The sequence below is a fragment of the Homo sapiens genome, chromosome 11 (assembly GCF_000001405.40).
Source record: "Homo sapiens chromosome 11, GRCh38.p14 Primary Assembly".
Taxonomy (NCBI): domain Eukaryota; kingdom Metazoa; phylum Chordata; class Mammalia; order Primates; family Hominidae; genus Homo; species Homo sapiens.
In genome coordinates, this window is record NC_000011.10 from 84156041 (window position 1) to 84174504 (window position 18464).

The window sequence follows — 18464 nt, forward strand, 5'->3', positions numbered from 1 at the left end:
TGATGGAGGAGGAAATAATTCAAAAATATACTAGGAACGATAGAAGAATATATGTGGTGTTTTGCAGGACAGGAAAATACAAAAGAGAAGGGAAAATTCAAAGATGCCTAGAGTATAATTCCACAAATTCCTTTTACTATCACAATCTGAGCCGCTCAGCCATAGACAACTTTGATATCTCAAGCTTTCCTGACTCCCTGGATTCTTATGACATTAGCAAATGCAGCTAAGTCAAGTCCATGTCTTTGCGTACTCTGAGTAATTTATACATTTTCCATGTATGAAATTAATAGCTTATATAACCCCAACATGATTTGTATCAAGAGTAGTTAGTTGACCGAGCATGGATAATAGATTTATGATGCTTTTATAACCCTGACCAGCACGCATGATTACAGTTTTGCAAAGATGCTAAAATGACTATCAGCTACCTTATTTGACTCTCATATTCCTCCCATCCTCACTGAAGAAAAAAACATTTGGAGTGCTCTCCCAACAGCTGCAGAATGTATGGCCATGTGATACTATTTGAACGTTTTGTCTGACAAGTTAGGGATTCTTTTTGCAACTAATAAAATAATTTAAAAATCTGAACCATTTCCTGAAATGTAAATTACTGACTTTTGTTAGTCATTATTTCACCTCTGCCAAAACAAAATGACTTATAGAGAAAAGAAAAATGACTGATTTATTGCATCATGCAAATTCCTACAGAAGAAACAAGTTTAGGATATAAGGTATGTAACATGGGAATTTTAAAAACAGTATTAGTGAATTGCCAGGTAAGAAGAGACCCATTAAAGTTGTCTAATAGTGGCCTCCCCAGCTCTCCAGATATCAAAATAACTAGAAAATCATTAGATATCTGATTTATTTAGACCAAATTCTTTTATCTCACATTGTTGATCTTTTTGAAAATTCCTAATTTCTAATAGAATTAAGGATCTGTTACTTCAAATAATATAAAGCTTTTGAATTTCTAAATTCCTCATTTTTTCTAGGTCTCTTTAGCTATTTTTAATAATAGTGACAGGAATAAAAAAACAGGCACGGTTTGAGTAGATATTTGATAGAATTTCAGTTTTTATATAGTCAACTGTATTAAAATCTTATAGTTTAATTAAATAATTTTGGTAATAGATACATTTCTTAACTGAACTCCAAAGTTTATGTATGTGCAATCATCACTGTATATTTTGCATATTTGAAATATATGCAAATGTAAATATTAAATACAAAGGTACCACCCAAGCATGTGTGTATTTATACATAAATGAATATATTTGTATAATACTTGTGAATTTTTATTTAGCATGTTACTTTTCCATGGGCCCATTAACATTTGCACCTGCTACTCCCTATCTGAGAGGCCGTCATCCACTACTTTTTAAAAAAATTTTATTTTTTAAAGATGGGGTCTCATTCTATTGCCCAGACTGGAATGCAGTGGCACAATCATAGTTCTCTGCAGCTTCAGACTACTGGGTTCAAATGATCCTGCTGCCTCAGCCTCCTGAGTAGCTGGGACCTCAAGCATGAGCTGCTATGTCTGGCTTTCACTCTCTTTTACATGGCTTGTTCCCTCTCACCTCTCATAAGCCAGCTCAGTTATGATGCCTCAGGAAATTACTTCATGCGGACCACATATTGAGAGCAATCTACTTATCGTCATAGTTTTTGTGCATTTACTTCTGTGTCCTCCACAAGGCTGCAAAATTCTTTGAAACAAGGTCTGTGCCCTGTACCTATGTTTAACAAGTGCTTGACAATTAAATGTACAAAAGATATTCATGAAGTTCACTCTGTGTGGCAAGTGGTTAATGCTTTAAACAATGCTACTGTAGAGGAGGAGTCGTCAACTTGTTTACAAATTGCCCAAGGGCTTTTTCTTTTCTTTTAATGTCACCATGATAACATAAAGAACATTATGAGAAAATTCCTTTCATCATAGAATTCATAGGCCAGTGGAAGAAATAGATTTTATTTATCATCTAGTGTGATAAATTCTCTATTTGTGTTTTGTTTTTTTGGTTTTTTTTTTGAGATGGAGTCTCACTCTGTTGCCCAGGCTGGAGTGCAGTGGCACCATCTTGGCTCACTGCAAGCTCTGCCTCCCAGGTTCATGCCATTCTCCTGCCTCAGCCTCCTGAGTAGCTGGGACTACAGGTGCCTGCCACGACGTCCAGCTAAATTTTTGTATTTTTAGTAGAGATGGGGTTTCACCGTGTTAGCCAGGATGGTCTCGATCTCCTGACCTCGTGATCCGCCCAGCTTGGCCTCCCAAAGGGCTGGGATTACAGGCATGAGCCACCGCCCCTGGCCTATTGTTGTTGTTTTCAAAGAGGCATATTGCCCAAGAGTGAAAGTCAAGAAAATCTGTTTGGAGGAAATGATATTTAAGCTTAATTTTGACAGCAGTCTAATTCAGTGGTAATAAGCTCAGATTCTAATATCTGTTGGACATAGGGCTGAATCCTAACTCTATCTCTTATAAAGCTATGATTTTTGGCAAGTGATTTAATCTTTGAGCCTCAGTATCCTAATATGTAAAATGGAGTTAGCAACATCTACCTCATAGGAGTGTTACTAAATGTGATTATTACTTAAATTAAACGTTACAGAGGTTAAACATAGCAAAAGTATAAGCTGTAAATGCACGTGGCAAATACCATAACTTATTTGTCATTGGGTATTTGACATCTAATAAAGAAAAGAAAAGCAGAAACAAAAGAAGTTCTTGTTAGATTAAGTTGTTTGTTGAGAGTGGAATGCTATGTCTTTAATAACTTCCTCAATTATATTTATAAATAATTCTTGTGAGAACTACCATGTTAACCAAAGAAAATATTAAGAATAATTATATATGCTGCTCTAAACCTTTACGTTAACTCATGTATTCATCACAACGGCCTTATGGGGTAATTATAAACAGTTTAGCCTCATTTTCAGATGTGGCAACTGAGGTACAGAGAGGTTAAGTATGTAGTTCAAGGTCACTTGACCAGAAAGTGCTAGAGCCAGAATTCAAACCTGGATTCAAACCAGGCCATGTGCGTCTATGTTACTGTCCTTCCAGTAATACAACCAGGCCAACTTCATTTAGATGCCAACCACTCCCTGAGTATACACTAAATTTCAGATGTTGTTCTAGAAAAATTGTATATAAATCACTTTATATTTATATACTGCATATATTTACAGGAAGGAATAGATGTTAACAAAATAAACTATAAATAAATAATATACATTTCAGATACTGGTGAGTGCAATTAAGTAATAATAAAATGGGAAAAAAGAATGATGGAAATGCTACTAATTTAATTACAGTGAACAGGGAAGATTTTTCTAAGGTGATGATATTTGAGCAGATATTTAAATAATAAAAAGAATAAACCATGTAAAGATATAACGGACAATTTTTCCAGGCAGCTAGAATAACATACATATAGGGCTTGAGTTAGGAAAAGCTTGGCTTGTTTGAGAAACGTCAAGGTCACCGTGGCTAGAGTGAAATTTATGAAGAGTTGGTGGTGAGCACATAATGTTGGAGAGAGGAGCAGGTGTCACATTACAGAAGGCCTTGTATGTAATGATAATGAAGTTAATTATCACCTTTGGAAGGTCTTAAGAATATAAGTGGTATGATCTGGCTTATATTAACATTTTGAAAAAAGATAACGGGTTACTTGGAGGAGAACAGCAGGGTAAAAGTGGAAGCTATTATGGTTGTTGAGGCATGGGATGAAATTGGTTTGGATTAGGATTCAGCAGAGCAGGTGGTAAGATCTGACTGATTTTGTAATATATTTTCATGGTAGCACAAGCAGGACTTACTCATGAATGCTGAGGATAAAGAATAATTGAGCAAGACTTTTAGATTTTAGATTATTTTTCTGGCATAAATAATATGGGAAATGATAGAACCAATTAGTCAATATGAAGAATATTAGGGCAGCAGTTACTTTGGCCCTGAGAAGAGGGACTGCAGGGAAGGGGCTTTCTTAATAATCAAGCAGCAGAGATGCCAACTGCACAGTTAGACATATACATTTGAAGTTCTCATTCAGGGAGATGTCATGGCTTCAGAATTGGGAGTCATCAGTTGACAGTTGGTATCTAAGGGCATGAGTCTGGATGAGGCCATCTAGGGAATGAAGAAAAGATGGAGAAGAGGTCTGTACACTGGGTATCTGGAGTGCTGAAACCTTTAGAGGAGGAGCCAGCAAGGAGGCTGAGAAAGGGCAGCCATTGAGGTGGTAAAAGAACAGGAGAGTGTTTTGTCCTGGAAGTTAAAATGTTGACATCTTTGAGGAAGGAGGAAGCATCAAATCCTGCTAAGAAGTCAGTTAGGTCTGAGAACTGATGCTTCAATTTAGCAAGATGGAACCAGTAATGACTTTGATATAAATGGATTTATGACTATTGTGGGGATGAGAACATGAAACAGGTTAAAATTTAAAAAATGAGGTAATAAGGGGGAGCTAATGAAAATAGACAATTTTCTTAGATTTTTGGTAAAGCAAAATAGAATAATGAGGTAATAGTGGAAGGAAAACATAGGGTCAGGGGACGGTTACTTATTTTTTCTAAGATGAAAGATATACTGTGCCTGAGTTAAAGTTATTCAGTAAAAAGCAAGATAGGGCTTGATATTGCAGAAGAGAGAGGAGATAACTGCAGAAGGAAAATCATTCAATGGATAACTGGTAATGGAGTCTAGGTAACAAGTAAAAAGTTGGTCTTAGAATGGAATAGGAACTTTCCTTCATTGCCATGGGAGAATATACTAGTAGACCTGGTAGTAGGAAAATGTGGTTTTCATTTGATTGCTTGGATTTTCTCAAAAACATATTAAGGCAGGTCAACAGCTGAAAGAGAAGATGAGAGAAGAGAGTGCTTGAGATTTGAGGAGATATGATAAGGTATGAAATTGTTGTCCCAGAGTATGAGAAAGTGATTTTTTCTAAAGAAGTGTATAAGAATTGCTAGAAAGTCTTGAGAGTTCACTTAAAATCAATGGTTAAATATTTAAAGTGAGATGAGTGAGTGTTTCTCTAGCCATATCCAGTTGCTGAGGCAGTGGCATGGAGTGAAGAGGAAAGTGTTGGCTTAACCAGCGTAAGCTAACTTGGACTGGGGTTTTGCTGGATGAGCACAAAAAGCTAGAGAAGAGAAAAAAAAGTGCATGAGAGGGAGAATTAGAGTGAGGGACCAGGTAATACATGCTAGGTGGGGAGGGAAGAGAGGGCATAAAGAAAGGTGAAAGCTGGGTAGAAATGGTGAAATCAATGATCTGAGGTTCCAATGGGGCTAAAGAAGTTTCAATGAGAAGGTACTAGAATAAATGATATGAACAGAAGGGAGGAAGTGTTCACAAAGATATTGCTTGACATAGAGGCTTTGGAGAGGGGGCAGTTAATGGCAGTAACAAAGTTCAGAGTATGGTCATGAACCCCAAGGCAGGAAGTTAGCAAGGTAAACTGACATGCTGAAGATCAGGAAACAAGTAAGATCAGAATCCAGACTAGAACCCACAGTTGTCTGACTCCTATTGAGTGTTCTCTCTCATACCAATGTTAGCTTTTATTTTTTGACCTCCAATACCAGGGCAACTAAATAGTGTTCTATTCAAGATGGTGATGTACATTGGATAAGGAAAAAGGAGAAGGCTCAGCTTCACGGGCATGAGACCTGTTCAGTTGCATTGAGTCCTGTGTTTAGAAAGGCCCCACGTTTTCATGTTGTACTGCACTCCATAAATCATATAGCTTGTCTTGGAGAGAAACTTAATGATTCAGGAGAAATGTGTTTTTTTGTCTCATTTGAGCTCATTTTCCATAAGCCTCACTTTTCTCCAGTTAGCATACCATTAAAATTTTATCAAGTCCATAATGGAAGTTTTAAAGAACCCATCTGTCAAACACTTAAGTTTCAACGTATATTTTGGTTTAAAAGCACTCACACTTGATAAAAATCAGCCTGAAGATGAGAAATGCTCTGACTCAGGAAAGTGAATAATTAGTAAACTAAAAACGAGATATAAATTAAAGTGCAGGTCTACAATCTTCATTTATACTTGAATGATAGCTTAGTGAAAATATTTACATTTTTATTTCTTATACTAAATGTGGTATGCGTTTATCATAGAAGGTTTATGAAATAAATATAAGCAAGAAGGATAAACTAAACATTACCCCAAAATCCTTAACAGGAGTTAGCCACCAACATGTGTAACATTTGGTGTACATCTTTCCAGGCTTTATGAGTGTATTTATGTATATATATTATATTATATAGCTTTGTGTCTACTGAATTATATTTTAAATACCATTTTAAAACTTAATTTTTAATTTAATAATATAATCTAGGTAGACCTTCTATCCTTGCAATTACATATTTTTCTAAAGTATTATTTCAGTATATTTTAATATAATTTATATTACATGAATACATAATAAACACATTATCCTTTTTTGTTTATTATTAAACACCTATGTTTTTCAATCTTCACTATTATAAACCATATCAATACACACATTCATCGTGTATTTGTCCGCTACTGTAAGTACAATTTCTGGGTCAAAGAGTGTATTCATTTTAAAGGCTTTTAATCTATGTTTCCAAATTGCTCTTGTAGGGTTGTACTAATTTTCAGAACCTCTCACTGGCATTGAATATTCACATTCCTTTTAAGTTTCTGTCAATTGGACAGGCAAAACTTGTTTGCTCTCATTGTCTTCCTTTGTTCTTAATGAGGTTGAACAGGTTTTCATTTGTTTATTGGCTTTTTCTTTTTTAATGAATGTCCTGTTAATGCTTTTTGGTCACTTTTTTCTACACGGTCTTTGGCCTTTCTCTTATTGTTCTGTAAAATATCTACATATATTAGGGTTGTGTTGCACAGTTTCCTTAATTTGTCAAAGCACTTTGCCAGGACCCTACCAGCATATTTGCAGAGCTCTATGGGGTTGCTGTGTTTTTTCCTATGGGAGTAGTTTTAAAATGCACCACTTGTTTTTTAAACTAAGTAAGAAACACATGGTAACTATAATTATGATGATAGTATCGATATCACACAAATGAAAACATCTTGTAACATATCTAAATAATGTATAGCCAAAACACTAATAATAAAACCATTAAGAACAAAGTGCTGTACAAGCTCATCAAACATTTCTCTTTTCCATTCATTTCTCCAAATCCTGGCAATGAAATTTACATACTAAACATTCAGTTATTTGGTCTGCTGTCTCAATGCTTTCTACTGTGAGCATTTCATTAATATTCTCATTGTGAGTCCTGTGGGAAACTTCCAGGTTATAAAACACAATTGTATAATTTCACAAGACAACTCATTAAGATTAGAATAGAATGTGAAATGCAAGATTGGGGCTTTGGATTTTTCAAAATTTTTTCTTACCCTCTCCAGTGTAATTTCTTCAAATTCATATTCAATTTCTGTCCCATTGACCTGTAAATAGGGAAAAAATAAGAAGAGAACTATTAAATACATGTTGAGGAGGAGACAGCTGCATTTTAAATAATGCTTGGGGGTGAAATTTTCATTCTAGCTATAAATAACCACATTTTCTTGATATTTCTGATTGTGCATTTTCATTCAAGTGAAACATAATCTATGCTATTCTAAAATATATGACTGAGATGCTACAAAAAATACTCAAAGATTATTGCTTCCCTTAGTAATTCTGTGATTTTTTTGTAGTGAGGTATAATAACACAAAATACATATTGTGAGCTTACAAAGAACAAATCATCTAGGGGCAATGATACAATTATGAGGAAAATAATTTTCTTGTTTTTTAAAAAATGTTATGTTTGAACACTAAAATATGACCTTAAAAATCAGTGATAATGGCAGAACAACATTGTTCCATTTTTGAATAGAAAAATAGCATGAAAATGACTGCATCATCTGAGAAATACCTTTTCTTTAGTGGCTCAAGCTCAGGTAAATCATCCCCATCATCCTTTTATTATCTTTATTGGAAAGCCCTGGACCATATAACCATACCTATGTACCTCAGTAGCAGTAAGAAATGAGCAAAGTAAGACACATTTTGAAATGCTTAGTGACGAATTGTTTCAACCATCCAACCAATCCTTGTATTGATTTGAATTTACAGAGAGAAATACATTTTAAATACAGCCAGGCACCTTAGATTTCCACAAATGTGCACAGAGGCCATATGAAAAGTTGGTTTAAAATAATCTAACAAATATTCCTTTCTCATTTTCATCTATCTCAGAATTCTTCTCAACCAGGCAAAACCTCTAAGCAAGAAAATTCTCAAATCGGTTGTTTCTTATTTCTGATACGTGTCTTGGCAACATCATTGGAATTTAGGAATCAGCCAGAAGGACTACATTTTAACTATAAAGCCATACTTTTTATAGGATTCTAACTTACATTTACTTTTCTATCTTAGAAGAATTTATACCCAGTACCAGGGATTGAGAGTTCTATGCAGGCAAGGCCCAGACAGCCAGCCCTGTTGCCTAACACAGAGCCTGGCAAGAAAATAATGAGGGAAAAGATAGTGAATGAATGAGTGACTGAACTAAGTAATTAATTTACTTGTGTAATTTATAAACATAGATATTTGTGGATTCTCTTTTGTAACAAAAAATTGAATGTAGTATCATCACCTAAAGGTGTAATTATAGTTATAATCAGTGAACATATAGAATGACAATGACAATGGACTTTACTTAGGTGTGTCCACCACCCACTCACAGCATGTTTTTGATTTTCTAATTACGTGAGCTAATTGGTGAATCACAATTTACTGTTTTACTACATTATCAAACAGCCCTAAACTAAATTTGATTTTCTAGGCTTCAGCAACTTAATGACTCACAGAAAAGGACTTGATGATGTCAGAAAGCTTTAGCAGCTTTCTAGAGGGTTTTGTTTTGTATATGCAAAAGTAAAACACACAGACACACACACACACAAACACACTTCAAACTCCTTGTATGTTTCCATATGAATGATTTTTAAAATAATTTTCTTTGATGGATAGGAAGAGGACAATAGGGGAAGGCTGAATTAACGAGATACATTTTCATTCCCTCAGTATGGCTCCATGAGGCTTTTCTTTGCTTCAGTGCTTCTCCAAACTGAATCACTTCACATTATTAAAGTGCTGCAAACTGGGGAGAAAAAAACAACTTCCAAGAGAGAAAAACACGCCTCTAATAATAAATGTCTAAAGGCTCAAAGAAATTCTTTTAGGAAGTGCTTAAAAGACAAGAATATTTTAGTGGCATACACTGCATAGTTGTGGCCTATCAAAACCTACGCTTAACATTTCTAGGATCCTAAATGCTGACTCTTAGATTTTTAGAAGTATTATATATGCATATCCTAATTGGTATTCCAAAGTTCCTTAGTCAGCTACATAAACTATTGCAGGCTTATATTTACCTCATGGGTCTTTCATTTTCAACTCAAGAAAATAATATCATTTGTCTAATTCAACAGTATCCAGGTTCTTTTCATCAGGAGAGATGATGCCATCAAGGTTGCAATGTAACTTTGCTTTTAAAACAAAGCATCCCGGCTGGGTGGTTCACACCTGTAATCTCAGCACTTTGGGAGGCTGATGCAGGCAGATCACAAAATCAGGAGTTCGAGACCAGCCTGGCCAATATGGTGAAACCCCGTCTCTACTAAAAATACAAAAATTAGCTGGGCATAGTGACAGGTGCCTGTAGTCCCAGCTACTTCAGAGGCTGAGGCAGAAGAATTGCTTGAACAGGGGAGATGGAGGTTACAGTGAGCCGAGATCGCACCACTACACTCCAGCCTGGGTGAAAGAGTGAGATCCCGTCTCAAAAACAAAACTAAACAAACAACAACAACAACAACAAAGCATCCCATGTCTACAACAAGCTTTCGTGAACTCGTAGAAGCATGAAGGATTTTTAGCATAGGTGAGGCATCATTTCAACCTTTTACATGAGGAGCATTTAGAGCACGGAATCACAGGAGCCAGTGAGAGAGTTCAGAAAAGACATTGGAAAGGCCCTAATCTCTATTCTCTCATTACAGGGAGAGTGTGGTCTATGTTCTGCCAAAGGACTCCTAAGACAAGAAATGGCAAATATCTTGAGGGAAAGAATGAGACAGAACAAAAGAACTAAGAATACCCCCCCAGGGCTGGGCGCAGTGGCTCATGCCTGTAATTCCAGTACTTTGGGAGGCAGGAGCAGGCGGATCAAGAGGTCAGGAGATCGATAACATCCTGGCCAACATGGTGAAACCCTGTCTCTACTAAAATACAAAAAATTATCTGGGCAGGGTGGCGTGCACCTGTAGTCCCAGCTACTCAGGAGGCTGAGGCAGGGGAATGGCCTGAACCTGGGAGGCAGAGGTTGCAGTGAGCCTAGATAGTGCCACTGTGCTCCAGCCTGGTGACAGAGTAAGACTCTGCTTCAAAAAAAAAAAAAAAAAAAAGAAAAGAAAGAAAGAAAGAAAGAAAAAAACAATACCTCGATCTTAATTTGTGAAAATTTGGTGCCTTTTCAAACGAATATACCAGTACAGTATTAAATAAGGATTTAAATACTTATTTCGACTTTATTTCTAAATAAACTCTCTACAGTGGTTGCTTACTGAGTGATGAAACACTGAGAGGTATCTACAGTAATTCACCCCTAACCATAATCTTGTGTATCCTCACTCAGCAAAACCAAAACTGTTATAAATGGCTCCCATCATCTTTTGGGTGGTTTGCAAACAATCCATTGTTGTTTGAACTTGCCTTGGTGTCTCATATAATATTCCCAATCAGGTTATCGACATATGATTTTCAATTCCTTTTCCTCAAAAGAGTTCGGCCGAATACATTTTTTTTCTTGTACAGTAACACTTACGGTAATATTTAAGTACCTTGGTCATATTTTATGCTACTGATAGTTTGGGGCCCGGAGAGCTTCACAGTTGGGGTTTCTGTTATTCCAGTTCTGGCCCTAACTGTCACAGCCTCCTCTCTACTTTGAGAACTAGAAAAATCAGAGGATTGACATTTTCATAGACTTGGAGAGTCAGTCAAATAGATTAAACTTTTCAGTGTTTGAAAAATGTGTGTGCATGTTTAAGATACTTGATTTTTCTGAACTTTATGGTTCTGTGGTGACAGCTGGTAGATTTCTCTGGTGGCCAGAAAATCAAACTGATGTCACACATTGTCCTGTGCTGTTCTGAGCATGTAGCCTTCCTAGAATCATATGGCAGTTAAGCAAAGAGAGTGACCCACAGCCAACTCAAATTTAAACTTGGTATTTAATTTAAAGCTCTAATTTAATGAATGTTGAATGCATTAAATATTTGTTTTTCTCCAACAGCTTTTAGTTAATTTTATGGCCTTTTTTCTACTTCAATGATATAGTAATCACCTGCCTGGATGATGATATAATTTGATTTTGAGATATATTTTTATCTCCTGAAAAGAGGTTCTCCATACATAACAAATGTGAACTATCCATATTTTAATGTTGTTTCATTGGAATCTTAAATAATAATTTCTCTGAAATGTTTTGCTTGTTCTTTGCCACCTTTGTAGCTTCATTAAGGCTAAGGATATACTAAACTCCAAAATGAATAATTTTTTTTTTTTCGAGACGGAGTTTCAGTCTTGTCAACCAGGCTGGGGTACAGTGGTGCGATCTTGGCTCACTGCAACCTCTGCATACCAGGTTTAAGTGATTCTTCTGCCTCAGCCTCCCAAGTAGCTGAGATTACAGGCATGCACCACCATGCCAAGCTAATTTTGTATATTTAGTAAGGACTAGGTTTCACCATGTTGACAAGGCTGGTCTCAAACTCCTGACCTCAGGAGATCCACCCACCTTGGCCTCCCAAAGTGCTGGGATTACAGGCGTGAGCCACCACGCCTGGCCCAAGATGAATAAATTTTTATATATCTCTGTGTCACATATTATAAAAGTGCTGAAACAAGGATATCAAAGCATTCACTTTTTTAGACTAAACACAATTCTACCCAAAGAGCAATTATTAAGCATGCATAAAGTGTCAAGAACAGTGACAGATACTGAGAAAATATTTTAAGATACAGCCATATTCTAGAGAAACACACAACCTTTAAAGAGGCACCGAAACACAAATATATTAAGGCCTCATACAAGAGTGATATCTAATATTTAAAATATAGAGGTAGACTAAAGCTGCAGCGCCACTATTGCCACATGCAAGGTATGTGCAGATCTATTTACTCTTTGTCGTTTACATAGATTAAGTCAGTAGTAGAGAATATGACAGACGATGTTCTAATCCTTCTCCTTATTATAAGTAATTATGATATAGTTAACAAGGTATACCTCTGATTATTATTGTTTTAGCATCTAGCACTACAATTGGACTTTGGGAGGAATGTGATCATCATGCAAATTGGGACCTCCAGTTCTTGTGGTCTCTTGTCACTTCCAGAGTAAGGTGGGGCAATGCCACTTTGCTTCATCCACAGATGCAGCATATATTACAGTGGCTAGCAATGATGACTATGTGAGTGAGTAAGTAGATAAATCAGTGAATCAACAAATGAAGTTTTTGGATGGGTTAAACCTGATGCACTCAAAGAAGACCTTGGTTGCTAATGGGGATGCCATGCCTACTGGGCCCATGCCTTTTGCCATTCCTTGTTTATTTATCCTCATCTCTGAGCTTGGCTCCTCTCAGAAGCCCTGAATTACAGGGTCACACCACCATCAAATGCCACAGCAAATCAACACACACACACACATACACACACACACACACACACACACAAACACACACACTCATTTGCATTCCTCTTTTTTAGTACCTTGCCAATATTCATCCTTCCCTTCTTTTGGAGTATCTCTTATAGTAAATATGTCATGATGCATTACTGCTCTTTACACTTGACCTTACATACAGTGTGATACTCGGTAGGCAAAAACATGGCTTCCAGAGTAAGAAAAGACAGATTTGAATCTTCTTTCCAACATTTTTGATGAGTGCGAGTTTGGGTAAGTTCCTTAATCTCTTAAAACCTCAATTTCTTTATGTGAAGAATAGTACTAAAAATAGTTCTTCCTCGTATGGTTATTGCAATGATTACATTAGGTAATTTATATGAATTATCACACATCTTAAGTGATTAAAGAAATTTTAGCTAAAATCCCAAACAGTTTTCTTCTCAGTTTCTACTTCATAAAATTCTTGGTAGGAATAAATAATATTACACATGTTAACTGTCTGGCACAAAGCAGATCTTCAATAATGATAGCTATTATTATTAGTTCTGGATACAAATCTATAAGGGTCACAAAATTTGTCTGATCAAATACTGAATGTTTGCTAATTTCTCCAGTAATACATAACTTAAGCAAACAAACTTGTCTTTTTCTATATATCCACTAAAAGGCTTTCCTAACTCAAACATCTTTTTCTTGAACCAATCTAAGATGCACTGCCTTGTGTATAGGAATTACCTTAGCTTTTGTTCTCAAACAAGTGTGGCCTTCACTCAAAATATTATTTTGGCCATGCGTGGTGGCTCACCCCTATAATCTCAGCACTTTGGGAGGCTGAGGCAGGTGGATCACTCGAAGTCAGGAGTTCATGATCAGTATAGCCAACATGATAAAACCCCATCTCTACTAAAAATACAAAAACTAGCTGGGCATCATGGCTCACGCCTGTAGTCCCAGCTACTCTGGAGGCTGAGGCATGAGAATCGCTTGAAGCAGGGAGGCAGAGGTTACAGTGAGCCGAGTTCACATCGCTGCACTTCAGCCTGGGCAACAGAGTGAGACTTGGTCTCAAAAAAAAAAAAAAAATCTCAACTAAACTTTCTCCCAATCTTGTGTATACTCACTTTTCATTTAAAAAAAATATTCCCTTGCCCAGTATTGATCATTATGTTGCTCTGCTATTGGCACTCACTTTCTTAAGGCTATTCTCAAGGCATTTCCTATATCCTCATGTTCATGAGAGCACAGGTTGTATATTAACCTTTTTTTTACCCTTGTACCTTCTGACACCATGCCTTGATCAAAGCAGGTCTCCAGAAAAATCTTTAGACCCAAGTCACCTATGAACTCCAAAAATTGAGTTGTGTTTAAACTGTATCTTTGCCTAAGTATGGGCAGCCCCTAACAACAGCTGCCCTTTCCTGTGAAATATGGCTTGAATTTATCCTCCCATCTCAGGAAATTTTTGCAAATTTTAAAAATAATTTCCAACTTAAATACTGAATAAATTAAAACATCAATTAAATACATTAATACTTAGTACCTATCATGTACTTGGTATAATGATAAGCACTGGAGATACAAAGTTGGGTGAAATATGGTTCCTGCCCTCAAATAACTCAGTCTAACAGATAGAGACAAGTGAATGGAAACATGTAACAAAGCGATAGGAGTGCTATGGTAGATGTCTATAGACTGCAGCAGCTGCAGAGGTGACATAAAGGAGGCAATAGGAATAGGTGATTCCACCGGCAGTGAGTCAGAAAACTTTTCATAGAGGAGATGGGATGAGCTGAGTGTGTTCATGGCAGGTGTTCATGAGAATGTGTAGGCCTATCAAAACAGAGACAGCAATATTAACCACATCTTCAGAATGTTCTACTGGAGACAGCACTGACCTTAAGAGTCTGATGCTTGCATTGTACTCCTGAGTCTGTGATTTAACATGCTAGGTAACCTTGGGCTTGTCATGATGCTTTAATTTTCTCATGCAGATAGATAACCTCTGAGGTCCCTCCCAGCTCTGACCTAGCAACAGGGCTTTTCTTCCCATCTAGTGCACCTGACCAATTGTTACTGTGATTTTTCTATTACTCTTTATTCTAAAGATCCTAACTGGCAACCCATAATTTTGCCAGGTGATATCTCTCTGACCTCTGAATATCTCTGTCTTATCTCTTCTCTTTAACCTATAAAAGGCCTCAACAGGGAGGAAACTAAATAGTGGTATCACTTTCCGTCTTGGCTCCACTCGAGGACATTACCATAAGCATTTTTTCCATTTCTACTCCTCAAAGATCTCAGGTTTCTGGAGGGAAAGAGTAAGTAGCTGTTTCTCTCTAAAAAGGAAAAAACGTAAGAAAGTTTTGCTCTACTTCAAACCAAAAGAAAAAACTTGAGGAGGCTGATGTTCTTTACTCCCATCTTTTTATCATATTTCGCTATATTTTTAAAATTTGTATGAATTTAAGGGGTACAGGTGCAGTTTTGTTACATGGATATATTGCTTAGTGGTGAAGTCTGGGCTTTTAGTGTAAGGATCACCTAAGGTACACTGTATCTATTGGGTAATTTCTTATCCCTCATTCCATTCCCACCTTCTCATCCTTCCAAAGTCTCCAATGTTTATTATTCCATACATTACATAGCTCCTACTTATAAGTGAGAATATGTGGTATTTTGACTCTGTTTCTGAGTTATTTTACTTAAGATAATGGCCTCCAGTTTTATCCTTACTGCTGCAAAAGACTTCATTCTTTTTTATGGCTGAATAGTATTCCATTGTATACATATACCAAATTTTCTTTATCCAATCACCCACTGATGGACACTGAGGTTAATTCCACATCTTTGCTATTGTGAATAGAGCTGCAATAAATATATGAGTGCAGGTATCTTTTTGATACGATGATTTATTTTCCTTTGGGTAGATGTCCAGTATTGGGATTGCTGGGTCAAATTTTCTCTGCTGAATATATGAAAATCAGTTGAGTGCTGAAAAAGTGAGTCATTCCACCAGAATGTAAGCTCTAAATAGGACAAAACACATTACAAAAGCCTGAGGCTTGCATTAATACAACTAGATTGTCCATCACCACCTTTAACTAATGTCCCTTCTCCTAGACTATCTTCACTAAAGATAGTGACCAAAAACAGGCCCTTTTTTCAAGTTACAGCGCATTATCACACAGAAATTAAAAGTTTAGATTGTGGAATCTAAAAGACCTGGATTCCATAACAGTTCTGTACTTACAAGCTGTTAGAATTCATCTTTGTTATGCATTACACACATTTGTGTAAGTGTCAAAATTACTTATTTAAACACTTAGTAGTAAGCAAAAGATTTTCTGCTTAAGCTTTGTTTAGAACCTGTTTTAATGTAAGGTATACATCTGGTTATTTTATGAATACTATGAAGTTATAATAAGACTGGTTTAAAATATGCAGTTTTATTAAAAACTCATCATAGTTCATTATTCCTTTCTTTAAATAAACGCTCACAAGCTATAAAAACAATCACTGATATTCTTAGTTAAGATTCTGAGTTTGGTAAGATCACTATTCCTATTATTCACCTGAATTTGTTCTACCAGTAAACTCTAATTTCAAGTTAAAATTTCTAATCTTAATTACAAAAACTTCCGAGCTCAGCGAATGCTAAATCATAGCTTCTACCACATAAAGAAAAAATCAGTATACTATAATTTTTTCCATTCTTATTTATTTATTTATTTATTTATTTATTTATTTATTTATTTGAGGTGGAGTCTTGCTCTGTTGCCCAGGCTGGAGTGCAGTGGTGCAATCTCGGCTCACTGCAACCTCCACCTCCCGAGTTCAACCAATTCTCCTGCCTCAGCCTCCCAAGTAGCTGTGATTACAGGCACCCGCCACCATGCGCAGCTAATTTTTGTATTTTTAGTAGAGATGAGGTTTTGCCATGTTGGCCAGGCTGGTCTTGAACTCCTACCTCAGGTGATCCAACCGCCTTGGCCTCCCAAAGTGCTGGGATTACAGGTGTGAGCCACTGTGCAAGGCCCTTAAATAACTTTTTTTTTAAAAAATTATCTGCCTTTGTTATGAAGTATTTATAACACACGCAACTTTGGGTCTAGAAAAATAATCACAGACTTAATAACTACTATGTTTTTAAAATTTTAATTAGAAAGCACACGTTTTTTTGTAATTAGCGGCTTTTTAGCTATAAAATTATAATAATTTTTATCAGTATTTCCATCAGAAGAAATTAAGAAAAATAGCTTAGGGTTCTTATATGCATAAAATAATCATTTTCTATATACAAAATTGTCTTGATTAAAGGCTTTTGTAACAAAGGAACAAATATAGTTACTTAGTATGTTCAAAACTGGATTTGCCTGATTTGGAAGGAGTCCATTTTCTCTCAGCTTTGCTCCCTTGTTTTGCACCATGTGCAGGATGGAGAATAACAGGTGGTTTTAATGCATTCACTTGGCTCCAGCCTGATGCAGGCTGTTTTGTTCTTTGGGTTTAAATATTTCATGAGTTTGTACATGCTCTTTGAGAACAGTAAATGGTGTTAAGAACACAATTGATCAATGGTTGTAAGGCATCATGATACACAAGGTTTTTGTCCCAACAAATCTCCTCCCTCACCTCACCACCCATCTATGCAAATCATGTGGTCATTTGCAAGCAAGTGTCCAAAAGTATCAAGAACTCAAAGCACATAGCCAAAATATTTAGGGAAATAAAAACTGGGTGCTAAGCCAAAAGATGAGACTTTACGAATATGATGATCTAACCAGATAGTCAAGAATATTTTCTTTTACTTGAGTATAATATGACTGTAGCATGAGGGAAAATATCAATGTTCTCTACTTCATCCCCTCTCTCTCCTCAATCCTCTGCAGCTTTTGTTTGTGTTCCACTATTATACAAAAGTTGAACCCAAAATAATCAACAAAAGCTTTTTCACATTTAAATACAATGATCTTTCCCAGTCTTCATTTGCCCTGGCTTTCATACAGTATTTGGCACTAGAGTGACCACCCACCACTCGCAACTTCCCTTTCCTTCCATCACAGGGTCTATCCTTGCTAGTCTCCTCCCTACTGCTCTGTCCACGGCAGTGATGACCATTTATTTTACTCCTGCCAGATATGAACATTTGCCAAGCTCTGTCCTTTGTTGCTTTTATAATCTACCTGAGTTTTGACTTCACCCCCCGGCCTTTTTTTTTTTTTTTTTTTTTTCTGAGTAAACACTTAAGTACTGCCCTGGTCTCAATACATCTAAAACAGAACAGATGCTCTTGCCTAATTGTAACCATAATTTCCTGCAGTCTACCACTCTATATCTCTGTTAAGGAGATTTTTTTTTTGTCATATACATCCTTTACATTTGTTATCAATTCCCGCCATCCTATTTCATGTTCAAATTATCACTTTCTTAAGAACATTGGTATAACTTCCTAAAAATACTTCTTCCCCTATTGATTTTCAACATCAATCTATTCTTCATATCCTTTGAGGTTTATTTTCCTAAAATGTTTCATCAAGGAATTTTACTGCTCAAGTAGCTTCAATAATTTTTTAATCCCCAGAGAACATTTCATACCATCCACCAGCTGTCCCCAACCTACCTTTCTAGCTAAATACCCTGTTTCTCATCTTCAAAAACGTTTTCTAGCCAAGTAATTGAGCTGAACACCTCCTCCTTTT

The 18464-nt window shown here is 36.3% G+C and overlaps 1 protein-coding gene across 53 annotated transcripts in view, besides 1 other annotated feature; it reads right to left on the reverse strand.

Annotated features, from left to right (window-relative positions):
- DLG2 (discs large MAGUK scaffold protein 2) overlaps window positions 1-18464 on the reverse strand; it is a 2173362-nt gene that overhangs the window by 701029 nt on the left and 1453869 nt on the right. For 52 of the 53 annotated variants that reach the window (NR_165353.1, NM_001351274.2, XM_017017256.3 and 49 more), the window contains one exon: window positions 7421-7471. Coding sequence is in view for 52 of the 53 variants with exons in the window: in NM_001351274.2 (NP_001338203.1) it covers window positions 7421-7471 (51 nt within the window). In the remaining variant the exon portion in view is untranslated. Of the gene's footprint in view, window positions 1-7420; window positions 7472-10915; window positions 10969-18464 lie in introns of those variants that run through there. The other variant, XM_017017284.2, reaches the window with a different exon arrangement.
- Window positions 1445-2091: an enhancer, noted in NCBI's record as "NANOG hESC enhancer chr11:83868528-83869174 (GRCh37/hg19 assembly coordinates)". NCBI's record gives its function as "activates a minimal SCP1, AML or CMV promoter by ChIP-STARR-seq in naive H9 embryonic stem cells {active_cell/tissue: H9 hESC(naive)}" and the evidence as "EXISTENCE:reporter gene assay evidence [ECO:0000049][PMID:30033119]".